This window comes from Homo sapiens, chromosome 3 (genome assembly GCF_000001405.40).
Source record: "Homo sapiens chromosome 3, GRCh38.p14 Primary Assembly".
Taxonomy (NCBI): Eukaryota; Metazoa; Chordata; class Mammalia; order Primates; family Hominidae; genus Homo; species Homo sapiens.
In genome coordinates this window covers 189596025-189611499 of record NC_000003.12, presented here as the reverse complement: position 1 = coordinate 189611499, position 15475 = coordinate 189596025, and the positions used below count along the sequence as shown (strand labels likewise).

At 38.3% G+C, this 15475-nt stretch overlaps 1 protein-coding gene across 1 annotated transcript in view; it reads right to left on the bottom strand.

Annotated features, from left to right (window-relative positions):
* The window catches only part of TP63 (tumor protein p63), a 300531-nt gene extending 285777 nt beyond the window's left edge, over positions 1-14754 (bottom strand). Inside the window, exon 1 of the mRNA NM_001329964.2 lies at positions 14262-14754. Coding sequence (NP_001316893.1) covers positions 14262-14317 — 56 coding nt within the window. The 5' untranslated portion in view covers positions 14318-14754. The remainder of the gene's footprint in view (positions 1-14261) is intronic.

Sequence of the window (15475 nt, the reverse complement as noted above, 5' to 3'; positions counted from 1 at the left end):
GACCAATGGAACAAAATACAGGGCTCAGCAATAAGGCCTCACATCTATGACCATCTGATCTTTCACAAAGCTGACAAAAACAAACAATGGGGAAAAGACAACCTACTCAAAAAATGGTGCTAGGATAACTGGCTAGCCATATGGAGAATATTGCAACTGAACTCCTTCCTTAAACCATATACGAAAACCAACTCAAGATGGATTAAAGGCTTCAATGTAAAACCCAAAACTATAAAAACCCTGGAAGACAACCTAGGCAATACCATCCTGGACATAGGAATGAGCAAAGGTTTCATGACAAAGACACCAAAAGCAATTCCAACAAAAGCAAAAATTGACAAATGAGATCTAATTAAACTTAAGAGCTTTGGCACAGCAAAAGAAACTATCAATAGAGTTGATATGGCTTGGCTGTGTCCCCATCCAAATCTCATCTTATATTCCCACATGTTATGGGAGGGATCCAATTGGAGGTAATTGAATGATGGGGGCAGGTCCTTCCCATGCTGTTATTATGACAGCAAATAAGTCTCAGGAGATCTGACAGTGCTATAAGGGGGAGTTTTCCTGCACAAGCGCTCTCTTTTTGCCTGCTGCCATTCATGTAAGATGTTAATTGCTCCTCCTTGCCTTCTGCCATGATGGTGAGGCCTCCCCAGCCATGTGGAACAGTAAGTCCATGAAACATCTTTTTCTTCACAGCCTAGGGTATGTCTTTATCAGCAGCATGAAAATGGATTAAAACAGTAAATTGGTACCAGTAGAGTGGGGCACTGCTGAAAAGATATCTGAAAATGTGGAAGTAACTTTGGAACCGGGCAACAGGCAGAAGTTGGAACAGTTTGGAGGGCTCAGAAGAAGATAGGAAAATGTGGGAAAGTTTGGAACTTCCTAGAGACTTGATGAATGGCTTTGCACAACATGCTGATAACGACATGGACAATAAGGTCCATGCTGAGGTGGTCTCAGATGGAAATGAGGAACTTGTTGGGAACTGAAGCAAAGGTGACTCTTGCTACGTTTTAGTAAGGAGACTGGCAGAATTTTGCCCCTGCCCTAGAGATTTGTGGAACTTTGAACTTGAGAGAGATGATTTAGGGTATTTGGCAGAAGAAATTTCTAAGCAGCAAAGCATTCAAGAGGTGACTTGTGTTCTCTTAAAGGCATTCAGTTTTATAAGGAAAGCAGAGAACATTTTTGCAAACTATGCATCTGACAAAGGTCTAATATCCAACATCTATAAGAAACTTAAAAAAATTTACAAGAGAAAAACAAACAACCCCATTAAAAAGTGGGTAAATTGCATGAACAGACACTTCTCAAAAGTAGACATACATGCAGTCAACAAGCATTTGAAAAAAAGCTCAATATCACTGATCATTAGAGAAATGCAAATCATTCACAATTAGGTACCATCTCACACCAGTCAGAATGGCTATTACTAAAGTCAGAAAATAACAAATGCTAGTGAGATTGCTGAGAAAAGGGAACACATACTCCGTTGGTGGGAGTGTAAATTAGTTCAACTGTCATGGAAAGCAGTATGGGGATTCCTCAAAGAGCTAAAAGCAGAACTACCATTCTACCCAGGAATCCCATTACTGGGTATATACAAAGAGGAATATAAATCATTGTACTATAAAGACATATGCATGCAAACATTCATTGCAGCACTATTCACAATAGCAAAGACATGGAATCAACCTAAATGCCCATCAATGAGAGGTTGGATAAAGAAAATGTGGTACATATACACCATGGAATATTACGCAGCCATAAAGAAGAACATGATCAAGTCTTTTGCATGAACATGAATGGAGGTGGAGGTATTATCCTTAGTAAACTAATGCAGGAACAGAAAAACAAATACTGCATGTTCTCACTTATAAGGGGAGCTAAATGATAAGAACTTATATACACAAAGAAGGAAACAACAGACACTGGGGGATACTTCAAGGGGGAGGGTCGGAGGAAGGAGAGGATAAGAAAAGATAACTATTGGGTACTGGGCTTATGAAATAATATGTACAACAACCCCCCATGACATGTGTTTATATACGTAGCAAACCTTCACATGTACCCTCAAACCAAAAAATAAAAGTTAAAAAAAAGTCAATGGGTGATAGTAACATACCCATTTCATTGATAGCATCATGGTTTGATTCTTATTTATGCACTATTAATTGTATCAACACATTGAATATTACCGTTTTTCAGGAGAAAAAGGGAAAGCATTCAATCAGATAAACTTGGCTGACAATTTGTCTATGTTACATGAAACTCATCCATCACCCATACATGGAAAGATGTCTAAAAGGAGATTCAAAGAGATAATAAAAAATTATACTCAAGTGATTTCTTATTTATGGTGTGTATTTTTCATCAGAAACTTGCCCACAGCGGTTGTGAATTCAGAGAATATAAGAACACAATGGTACAATCAGTCTGGAGGTATCTCAATTAGACAGCAAGAGAAGGTCAAGAAAAAAATTCATTGTATGAAACTACAGTGTTTTCCTCCTGAATCCTAAGATTGAAACTACTTGTACCCATGCATTAAATTTGTACGTGGTGCTCCAAATCTTGGAAGGAATACTCTTACATGTTACCGAGAGGCAGGGGGTTTGTGAAGCTTTTAAAATGTACTCTTGATTTTAATATTGAAGTGCTGTGAATGTGGGTTTCTTTGGAAAGATATTAAAATATTATTAATTGTAATCCTGAGAAAATAAATGGGGGCTTAGTGTTTGGGTAATAAATTATGATATTGCTGAATAGAGCTCTAGCTACAAGTTGAAAATGAAACCTAGGGTAAAATAACTTCAGAAACAATTTATGTAAATAGCTGATAATATATTTAAGTCATATTCTGCCTTAAATTTGTTTGGAAATGAGATACAAAGTATAAAAGTCAAGTTCACAAAACAGCCAAAGAAAATAAAACTTACACAAATTTTTGCATCACCTGTCCTCTGAAATTTTGATCTGTTGTTATCTAATGCCCTTACCATTGCCTTATCTCTCTGTGTTTATGACTCTGAGAGATATCGTAGCCTCAGAAATCCCAGTTTATCATGTGTCCAATAATTCTGGTGCATGAGCTGAAGAATTAATCACAAGAAAACTCAATTCTAGAACTCTGATGACAGATGAGCTAGGAGGATGGGAGTTAATGAACTGAAGTTTTTACACAGACATTATCCAATGCTCTAATTCCTTACAAAAGTCCTCTTTACTCAGTCTGATGTTATACTAAATAAATACCCCTCCCCAAGATTTCCAAGGAGTTTTCAAGAGTGCTCACACCATCTACCCCAACACATACATGCACACACAGTACACACAACTTTTTTTATCTGTTTTAATTAGGAACTGAAATTTGATTACCTCCATAAATTACTTTATTTTTTAAAGCCAGGTTATTGTAATTAATGAACTTATAACCTATGAATTAGTTGTTATCAGAGATCTTCATATCTTAAACAACTTAAGAACCCTTTGCTCTGTTTGTAAGGGCTGAACCTCTCAAGTCTAGTACACTTTCTTTGAGTTAGATATACTGTTGAGTTATGTTTGCCTTTCATTAACTTTACCAATGAATATTAGAATATTAGAGTCATGAGTTTTGAAAGAATGTATGTGATATTCAAAAATATTTTGTGCTCATCTTAAAACTATATAAATACATTAAAGTGATAAACATTATAATCCTAGAATACCTATCCACTGTTCTATGTTTTGGCATTTCCTCCTGGGTTTGGCTTAAAAGTATACATTTTTATATGTACGATAATTTTAAATATATATGTAATATTCATAATGACATACACTATTATTATATATTCTAATTTTTCATTTAATCTTATAATAGAAACAAATTTATATACTCACTATAGTCATAATTACCATTTTAAACTGTTTCATTTTTATTGACAAAATGCTTCATCTTACTTATCCATTTTACTCTAATAAAAATTATTTTTTAAAAAATTTCACAACTAGGAAAAATTATTTGTAATAATAAATAACTGCAATGAATACCTTCTCACAAATAACCTTTTTCTATTAAGTTTTTAAAAATAAACTTTTTATTTTGAAATGAATATTGATTTACAGAAAAGTTGCAAAGATAGCACAAAAGTTCCTGCATTTTCTTCATTCAGCTTCTATGACACGCTTGTCAATATTTTAAAAATTAACAGTAACTAAACTATAGACTCTAAACAGATTCATCAGTTTTGCTACTAATGTTCTTTTTCCTGCTCTAGGATCTAATTGAGGATATCACATTGCATTAAGTCTTCACGCCTTCTCAGTTGGCTCTGCTCTGTCAATTCCCCAATGACAGAGCCTCAGACTTTCCTTACATTTCATGATATTGAAATTTTGAAGAACCCTTCTCAGGTATTTTGTAGAAATACCATTTCTCACTGGCACCTGGTTCTAGGTCACAGTCATTTCTTCACCACATGGGCCTCTCCAACATAACAGCTCACTTCATCAAAGCAAGCAAGTCAGGGAAGCATGAAAGAGAAAGTACTGGCATGACAGAAGTCATAGTCATAATCATGGTGGTGACATTCCATCACATTTATATGGGTGCCATTTATTAGAGTGAATCACCACACCCAGCCCTCCCAATGAAGGAGATATAATTACACAAGTATATTAAGAGATCATTGCGGGGTTGGCCCGTCGCGGTGGTGCACAACTGTAATCCTAGCACTTTGGGAGGCCGAGTCAGGCAGATCACTTGAGGCCAGGAGTAGGAGTTGGAGACCAGCCTGGGCAACATGACAAAGCCCTGTGCCTACTCATTTTGTACTAAAATTACAAAAATTAGCCAGCTGTGGTGGTGCAACGGAGGCTGAGGCACGATAATTGCTTCAACCTGGGAGGCAGAGGTTGCAGTGAACCAAGAGTGCGCCACTGCCCTCCAGCCTAGGTGACAGAGCAAGACTCTGTCTCAAAAAAAAAAAAAAAAAAAAAAAAAATGGCCATCTTAGAAGGCTGTCTATCAATTACATAGCTATTTTATGGGCCATGCATTGTAATTCCAATATTTGAAATTTATGTAGGCCTAGCTCTGCTCTGGTGTTTTTATTGCTTCACACTCATGGTACCTTGTTTCCTTGTGTGTTTTGTTATTTCCAGCCATGAACTGTTGATTTTAATGTTGTATTTGTGGATTTTTTTTTCCTGAGGCCTGGAATGGAAGTGAATTTCTCTTGGGAAGGTTTTGTTTCCTTCTACCAGGTGCCTATGAAAATTATCAATTAGTATGCAATTAAATTTTCATCTTGAGGTGTTTGGATCAATAAAGTAGAGTGAATTTAGACTGGAAACTGCATCAGAGTTAGCTTGAGATTGTAAATTATGAATAGCAATGTTTCTTTCCTCTACCATGTGGTTAGGTTTGTGATATTTAATTTCCTTTAATGTCTCTTGGATGACAGGGAAGAAGTTTATTTTTGTTTTAAATTTTCTATTGTGTATGGTCTTTGGAACCACAGTGTTATGGCAGGAAGATATCCCGGTAGTTGTCTTACATTGGGTCAGTATTTTGTCTCCTATTCTTTCTGCCCTTTGAAACTATGAACACCAAAGCTCAAATTTACCCAAGTAAATAAACACACTCAGTGTAAAATTTGCCTTTGATATTCCATCATATCTCTTAGTGCTTATCTTCGCTTACTGCTTTGTCTGAAAGACTTCTTATTTTTTTTTCTAGCCATTAATGGATCTAAACTAAAAAAAATTTTAAACACATTATTTTACTAAGAATTTAGTTGTTTGCAATGAGATTCGATCTGGTTTCCTGTCCCATCATTTTACCAGAAATAGAAACATCGAGGGTCTCTAATGGTTCATTTTATTTAACAAATATTTAGTGATCACATAGCAGGTACCAGAATCTATATTGCGGCTTAGAAAATCAGATACTCTTGTATCATCAAGCAGCTCACCTTTTAACAATTCTGGAAATTGTAATATAATGCAATGTAAATTCCACAGTTAAGCAAACATATGACTCTGGAGGCACAAAGAAAGGCACAAAGAAATCAGCCAAAAGACACCATGGTATATATCTGACTTTCACATTTTGGGGAATAACTGAGATATTCTTGCCTCTTCTCCAAATAGCAATGACTTATACAGAGATCCTTGACAAAAGCATACTTCTGATAAAATTTTTACTAATAATGTGAAACTTCTTGTTAAAGATAAATAAAACAGTCTATTGAGTTGGCATAATCAGTGGCCTGAAATTATAAGCCTGAGTTTCCTTCTTGACTAATATTTTCAGTAGACAAGGCAGGCATTTTGTTTTTTATTGTATTTGTAGGAAATTATGCCCCAAGAAGGACACAGGCCTTTTTTCCTTCTCCTCAGTGTGTGGTCTCAGCGAGAAGAGATACCACTAGAAGAAAACCAAGCCACAAGAGAGCTCTGAGACCCTCAGTGGGAGTCACTGGGTAAAGAATACAACACCAGAACCTTGTCATTGGCACAATTCAGGAGAAAGGGAAATAGGATGTTGAGATGTCAGTTTGAAGAAAGCCCTGCCACTTCTTTCCTGGGTGGCTTAGGAAAATTCTCTTTGGTCCTTAGGTAAATAAACCATGTAAAGTGAAAGTCAATCTGTTTATTTCCCAAGACTTTTAAAGAATCAAATAATTTATATGAAAGTTTTACAAACAGCTTTACAAACTGTAAAGGTGGTTTTCCAATTTTGTTAATATTTTTGCCTAAGAAGTAACAAAATAAGATATAGTTGCATTAAATGGCTCATTTTCTAAACTCAATCTCAACTTCTTTCCCCTCTCCCGGCAACCTAAACCTTGCAAACTCATGGTTAAATTTTAGATATCTGGTTGTCTAGGGGTCGGGTTCCACAATACTTTTAACCAAGACCTTGTTTATATCTTCCTAGAGATTATCTCCAGGTAAATATCCAAGAAAGAAAATCTACAGAGGCCTAGATTTATCCTTTACTCATCTGAATTTGTGTGGAAAATTTCCAGGCCTCACATCTATCTCTATTTTTTACTGAGAAGTGTCTGAATTTAGCTAGATGGTAGAGATTTGGGTGGGAGATGGTGGTGAAGAAGAGTAAGGTCATATTTTACAAATCTACCCATTTAATGAATGAGAGCTAAATAGTAGGTAGAATTTAATGAGCACCTCTCTGCCAGACATACTACATTTATTTGTTCTAATTCTTCCACATACCCTGCAATCTAGGTTTAATTATTTATTTCACTGATGAGGACGTTAAAACCAAGAGAAGTGAAACAATTTCTTAAAGGTTCCGAGGTGGGAGTATGGAATGGACACGCAAGGAGGTAGCAGATCTAAGATTCAGGCTCAGAATTGTCTGACTTCAACGACCATGTTCTTTGCACACTACTTCCCTGATGGTAAAATAATTTTGTCTTTTCTACTAATTCTTTTTTTGTGAATATATATATATTTTTCAAGTGTTCTATTTACCCATTTATTCATTAGCAGATTGTCTCATTAAAATTATCAATAGAAACTTGGCTGGAGTGTTAACTTTTGGGGGCTAATCTTAGGAAAAGAAAATTTTTTCGATTTACCTTTTCTCTTCTTTTCTTTTTGTTGGTTTTGTTTCTATAATGGAAACATGAAAAGGCAAACATTTTATTTTCCAATGAGGGCTAAAAGCTTGGGACTTGAGGGATGTATATACTTTTCTTACAGTAAAGTAGTTTAATACTTAAAGGTAAAACTATATAGGTGAAATGCTGAAATAAGTCAGAGGGTAGGAAAAAAAATCTGTAACTCCAGGACTGTGCTTCTTTTTTTTTTTTTTTTTTTTTTTTTTAATGAAGGCAAAAACCACTGAGATAGAATAAAACTCCAAAAAGTGACTGCTTGATGTTTACATGGGGTGTCCGGTAGTTCCTGGCAAGGGAAAAGCAGAACTTAGTTTGAGCCACTGTTCTCTCAACTCCTGTGATAAAACAAAATACCCTCTCAGAGGAAGAAATCTTTCTGCTTCCCATGCTCTTATTAACACTAAGTAGAATTAGTAATAGTATAACTACTATGAAGGAAATAGGTCTTCTGATAAACTCAGAAGGATAAGGAGAAGAAGAAAACAGAACCCAAAAAACCACAGGAATGAGGTAGTCCAATTTCTTCACCTTATAGATGAGAAGAGAGAGGCCCAGAAAGTGGCAGGGACTGGCCTGGGCACATATAAGGAGTTGGGACTAGGATACAGCTATCCACTTTGAGCCCATTGCTGGTTCCACTGCTGCATTAGTATTTATATAGAGGATAAGATAAATGGACATGTAGCATTTTGAGAATCAGCACGTTTGCCTGTCCCACTATATAACTGGTTTTCAACCTTCTTATAATCCTAATAACTGAGTCCTGGGTAAAAGAGCCTCCATTCTTTTGCATTAGACGTTCTCTCATTCAGAGTTTATATAGCAGTGCAGCTGAGAAGTTTATAAAGTTTCAAAATGAATTTAAAAGTTTATAAATGAATTTATAAGTCTAAAAGTTTATAAATGAATTCTTAACCTGGGAAGTTACCTACTACTAGCTCTATGCCATTAAACATAGAACACTAGCTCTATGCCATTAAACATAGAACACTAGCTCTATGCCATTAAAGTGATGCCTGTGCCTCTATTTTAAAATAGAGTGTTCATTATTAAACAGCAGACTCTACGAACGATATAATTTAATACAGCACAATCCAGAATTTGTGAACGGAACTTCTGGTACAAAAAGAGTGTATGAAATCAGTGTCATGATGCAACAACCATTCCCTGCAGCCCAAAGAAGAGGCTTCAGAGTGCAAAGAGAATTAATACTTGCTGGCTCGGATGCACGACTGGCTGCACAAGGTGATTTTACTGTGTATTATACTTTAATTATAACTGCACTGTAGCCATCTGCTCCACTTCATTCCCTAATTATAGATGTAAAATGCATTTCACAAATCCCACCTGTAAAAAAGATCTAAGGGATTTCATAGCAGGCTTGCTCCTCCCTCCTCCCTCCTTTCTTAGCCTCTGCACTCTTTCTTCAACACATATGAGAAGACCAAGAAAATGTTTGTGATGCACTGATCACCCCAGAAAGTCTGGGCTTTCTGACACTGTTCCATCCATTAATATCTCTCTTCTACATGTTATTATACACACTGTGGCCAGCCCTTTCTAAGCCATGGTCACACATGACTTCCTGTTCACATGTAATTTTCTACACGCTCTCCCTCCTATTATTTTTGAATTAGCCTTTTATTTTATTTCCAGCACTATCACTTCAAGTATCTCCTAGCTTTTTCTGTGAAGCGTCTGAGAAAGCTGTTATTGTCCTCATTTTTCAGTGGAGAAGAGAGGAGAGATGTAGAGAGTTTAAAGGTATTATTTAAGGCCACACAGTTGATCAGTGGCAGAAGTAAGCTAGAAGCCACACACACCTAGAGATATTTATTCCCACTCTTTCACACTCACTACTATCAGGCATCATTTGAGAGTGTTGTTTAAATTTCCATCAAGATAGCAGAAGTGTGCTGGAGCCAGCTCACACTGCCTCAGAAGAGCATACCGTGGGCATCTCTTTCCAATCCCATCTTCAGTGACTTCTTATTGGAAGCTGGAAGTTGGCTACGTTGGTAGTGTGAGATGGACACATACTATAAAAGCTCACATTGCTTCCTCAGGAGAGAGCTGTTAATAATTTAACATTCAGTAGAATGCTACTGAATGTGGGAAATGGATCTATATGCTCTCAGGAAAGTCACATATTTAGAGCATAATACCCTCTTCACCTCTGAAGTTGAATAATGTGAATATGAGTACTACTCATGAATGAGGAAAAGCTAAGCAATTTAACCAAACAAGTATCACTTCAATGTTCTAAGGATAAAAATAGTAATCCAAGAAAATGAGGATTCTTTCTGCAGATGGTAAATTCAGAATTTTCTAATGAACCCTTTGGCTGTAAAAGTCTCTCTGGTTTCCAAAGCAATCTGCAAGTTAGAAATTTAGGGTTCCAGGGAGGTTCAGGATGATGTACAGTAGTCCCAAAGCAGGAGGCTCCAAAATGACACCTGGTCTTCCGCATCCAAGTTTACTTCAACCAGACACTGGCATATGAGGAAATGCCTCTCTGAACGCTAGATGTGGACATTTCTGAAGGAGAGTAAATGAGCACATGTGCTCATTTTTCATGGGTGTTAAAAGGGAAACAATTTAGAAGCTTTAAAGTTCCCTCTCCCCGCGAAATTCTCAGACTTTCCAAAAACATAAATTCTAGCTATGCACAAGATTGCAGCTCAAGTCCAAGAACAGTCATACAAAAGAACACATCCAACCTGAACTGAAGAAGGCTTTAAAACATCAACTATGGGATTAAAAATAAGCAATGACTTTCTAGAAAGAAAATGAAGTGTAAGCTTTTTACCAAACATGTTGTGCAAATACCAAATCACAAGGTAATAGAAGCACAACACTAAAATTCAACACATGTTGTACTGATTAGAGATTCAATTAGTTTCTCTATATAGCAAAGACAGCTGTATCAGATGGTATGTATGCTCTTTAATGGACATCTGAATTTATATATGTGCTGATCTCAAGAAATTTATTTGTGGTGACCTCCAAAGTATGTAGTCAAGGCTAATAGGAAAATTGAGTATAAATATATAATCACAAGGTTCTTTAGATGCCTTTTTGCAACTCTTATTGAACCTACTTTTGTAAAATCCCTAAAAGTTTATTCAATTAATAGAGTACTGGCCTGGTAGTAAGGAGTTTTAGTAGACCTAGATCGAACATTAATTAGAATAAGGGCTTCAGAGAGCATCTAAAGCAGGGAGAAACAGTATAAAGAGGCAGTAGAGTTTAATAACAAAGAGAATGAATTTGGAAGCTTGGCTACCTGATGTGACTTTCACCTCTGATACTTACTAGTTGTCACACCTTAGAGAAATTACCTAAACCTTAGTGCTTTGGTTTTTCTATCTGCTACATAGGTACAAAACAGTACTGCACTTCTCTTAAGGCCATTGCAATAATTAAAGAATTATACATGTAAAGCACTTAGAATTGTTTCTGACATATAGCATGTGTACAATTCATGTTTAACCTACAGTACAATCAATATCCTCATTTTATAAGATAAAAAAACCTAAAGCCCAGAGAGGTTAAACACATTATACAAATTCACATGGCAAACTAGAGACAGAATTAGGATTAGAATCCATGATCCATTTCTATTGATCCACCCCCTCTCCCAACAGTGATGAGTAGGTTATTTGCATTTATTAAATTCAACAAGTTTTGTCAAACTCTTCTGGGGGTTGGTGATGCTCAAAAGGACTTGTCTAATATAAAAGTAAATTATTGGTTTAATTATCAGACAAGATCTTTGACTCTCAGTAAAATAAATGTTTTTGCCTCTTCGACATATTATTTCTCAATTACGTGATTTTGAAATGGTATAGTATCCATTTTTGAAATACAAAAATTTATTCTTGTAACAGCAACAATAATAACTGAAAAGATCCCACAGAGCATATGCATACAAATGATATAAAAGTGTTTGACTCGTTGAGGAAAATAAATATAGTACATTTAAAATATAAAGCTGAGGAAAGATCAAATGGAGTGCAAAGTTTGGTGAACAAACAATTTTCAAATCTAGTGTTTTATCCAAGCAATGTCAAAGTAAGTTGTCAAAGAAACTGATATGAGGGTGTTCTCTGTATCCCTAGAGATAGGAAACTCTCTTGAAAAAAATATGGGTTACTAATACAGAATCTACTAATGGTTTTTCTTTGGTAAACTCCCTAATCTTCAAATCTGACAACTGCTCATAGAAGAAACTGGTAGACCTCATTAATCATGACTGCCATGATCGCCGTCACTGCTACTATCCTGTTGCTGATTGGGCTTCCCATCACTATTCACTTTGGGTATTCTCCCACTCTTGTAAGAAAGAATATTATTAATTCATTATTTTATTGAAGCACTCCAGTTTCAAAATGAGGATGATGGCTGGCAAAAACAGAAAGAGTCTCTGAGAAATCAGGCTGTGGTTACAAGTCCAAAGCCATGATACATTATGGGAATTGATGGGTCCACAAATTTCAAAGAAGCTGACACCCAAGACTATTGATGACCCTTCCAGGCCCAGTTGAATACAAGGATGAGGTTGAGAAAGCAAAGTGGCTGGTTGTAACAAGAAATTGGCCAAAAGCTAAAGAAATTTGCAAGCAGATTCTAAGAACAAAGAGTAGGAAAACAGAAACAGAACAATGAGGTAATTATAAACGTAAAGTTTGAATTAAAGGTGGATGAAGGGAAACTGATATCTAAGGAGGTAAATATAATGTTGAAGCAAGTTACAAACTTTAAGAGTGAAAACATGAAAAAAAGGTCTGAGAAGAGGAAGGACTCTGAAGTGAGCTTGGACATTATCCAAACCTGCTTCCTCCTTCAGCCTCTGCTTTGCTGTGGGCAAGGTTAGGGTACCCTGCAAAAAGCCTTCGCAGTTACGCCTCCAATCCTTGGGAAATCCCTCTAAGATATGCCTTCCACTTGCTATTCTCCAAAAGCTGACTCTCTGGGGCCTCTAGATTCTGCCCATAGATCCAAGAAACTCTATGATTCTGATTTCTGTCTCTACACAGACTATTCAGATGAATGCCTTACCTGTGACTATGGTCATTCAGATTTCCTTTGACCTTGCATATCCTGGACTGCAGGCCAGGCTGCGCCAACACTCTGCTGGCTCTGGAATTCTAGTTTAGTCCCAGCCCTCTGGTTCTCACTGGACAGTATTCAGCTGGAGATAGTGGTTTACTTCTGTTATCGGGCTGATATCCGGATCTCAAAGGTGCTATGTATGGTTTCATAATGTTGAAATAAGCTTGTATGTATATTTGTTTGTGCCTTTTTTGGTGATTAAATATTTTTCTTTGATTAAATATTTTTCTTTGACTTTAGCCTGCTTGAAGTTCAGGGAGCTTATTGAATCTGTGGTTTCATGTTTTATTACGTGTTTTCAAAAATGGCCACAATTTCTTTCTATATTGCTTTATCTTTCACTCTCTTTCTCTCCCCTACTTCTTCTCTTGCCTCGCCTTTCCTTCCCTATTTTCCTCTCCCCTCCCCTTCTCTCCTCTCCCATTCCGTTCCCTCCCCTCTCCTGCTGTCCCTTTCCTCCCCTCCTCTACTCTCCCTTCCTCTCCCCTCCTCTCCTCTCCATCTCTACTCCAATTATATGCATGCTAGATTTGTTTTATTTATTGTGTTTCGTATGTTTCTTAAAATCTTTTCTTATTTTTCATTTTTTCTTTTTACTGCTTCAGTGTAGATATTTTATGCTGACCTGTCATTCAGTTCACTAGTCTGTTATTTTGCTTCTTCTCAACAGTGTATTGAATTTATAAGTTCATTTCAGTATTTTACAGTTCTATAACTTCCATCTGACTTTTTGTAAATTTTAAGTCTCTGGTAAAATTATTTACATCTCCTTCTATTTTTCAAAATATTAATTCTAACTTTTTTTTTTTTTTTGAGGCAGGGTCTCACTCTATTGCCTAAGCTGAAGTATAGTGGTACAATCATGGCTCACTGCAGCCCTTGACCTCCTGGGTTTAGGTGATCCTCCTAACTCAGCCTGCAGAGTAGCTGGGACTACAAGTGTGAGCCACCCCATCCAGCTAACTTCTTGCTTTTCTTTAGTATAGACGGGGTTTCACCATGTTGCCTAGGCTGGTCTTGAACTCCTGAACTCAAGCAATTCACCCAGCCTGGCCTCGCAAAGTTCTGGAATTACAAGCATGAGCCACCGCACCAGGCCAATTCTAGCTATTTTTAAGTTTCTCATAACTACATTATCTAAACCACCTATGAATCTGTTTCAATTATCTACCTATTTCTCTAAGGTTTTGATCATTTGATTCTATTTTTACCACATTTTGTCATTTTAAATTTGATTTTAGAAGTTTTGGACAAAACATCTTTGAGATTCTACATAATATTATCTTCCTCCTAAAAGGATTAAAATTTCCTCTGGTAGAGAGAGTTTGAGCATATCTCTTTAAACCTGTCAGGTACTGGTTTTGGACTATGTGTAAGTCCTATTAATATTAAGTCATATTTATTTCAGCTTTACCCATATTTTGGAGGCATAGTCCTTACTCTTAATGCATGGTCCTTTAGATTTTTATCTTCTTGGGTTTCAACTGAAAACTGAGTACTTACCAAGGTTTCCCCACCTTTGTGAAGGCTGTCCAGTCTCTCTGTTCCCAGCACTTCATAGTTTTCAAAATCTCTGATAGGGTGTCCGGAATTGGTGGGTTCTTGGTCTCTCTGACTTCAAGAATGAAGCCGCGGACCCTGGCGGTGAGTGTTACAGCTCTTAAGGTGGCGCGTCTGGAGTTTGTTCCTTCTGATGTTCGGATGTGTTCGGAGTTTCTTCCTTACGGTGGGTTCGTGGTCTCGCTGGCTCAGGAGTGAAGCTGCAGACCTTCGCAGTGAGTGTTGAAGTTCTTAAGGCGGTGCGTCTGGAGTTGTTCGTTCCTCCCAGTGGACTCCTGGTCTCGCTGGCTTCAGGAGTGAAGCTGCAGACCTTCACGGTGAGTGTTACAGCTCATAAAAGCAGTGTGCACCCAAAGAGTGAGCAGTAGCAAGATTTACTGCAAAGAGCAAAAGAACAAAGCTTCCACAGTGTGGAAGGTGACCCCAGCGGGTTGCCACTGCTGGCTGGGGCAGCCTGCTTTTATTCTCTTATCTGGCCCCACCCACTTCCTGCTGATTGGTAGAGCCGAGTGGTCTGTTTTGACAGGGCACTGATTGGTGTATTTACAATCCCTGAGCTAGACATAAAGATTCTCCACGTCCCCACCAGACTCAGGAGGCCAGCTGGCTTCGCCCAGTGGATCTCCCACCGGGGCTGCAGATGGAGCTGCCTGCCAGTCCCGCGCCATGCGCCTGCACTCTTCAGCCCTTGGGTGGTCGATGGGACTGGGCGCCGTGGAGCAGGGGGTGGCGCTTGTCGAGGAGGCTCCGGCCACACAGGAGCCCACAGAGCGGGTGGGAGGCTCAGGCATGGCGGGCTGCAGGTCCCGAGCCCTGCCCCACGGGAAGGCAGCTAAGGCCCGGTGAGAAATCGAGCGCAGCGCTGGTGGGCTGGCACTGCTGGGGGACCCAGTACACCCTCCACAGCTGCTGGCCCGGGTGCTAAGCCCCTCATTGCCTGGGGCCGGCGGGGCCGGCCGGCTGTTCCGAGTGCAGAGCCCGCCAAGCCCACGCCCACCCGGAACTCCAGCTGGCCCGGAAGCGCCGCGCGCAGCCCCAGTTCCCGCTCCCACCTCTCTTTCCACACCTCCCTGCAAGCTGAGGGAGCGGGCTCCGGCCTTGGCCAGCCCAGAAGAGGCTCCCACAGTGCAGCAGTGGGCTGAAGGGCTCCTCAAGTG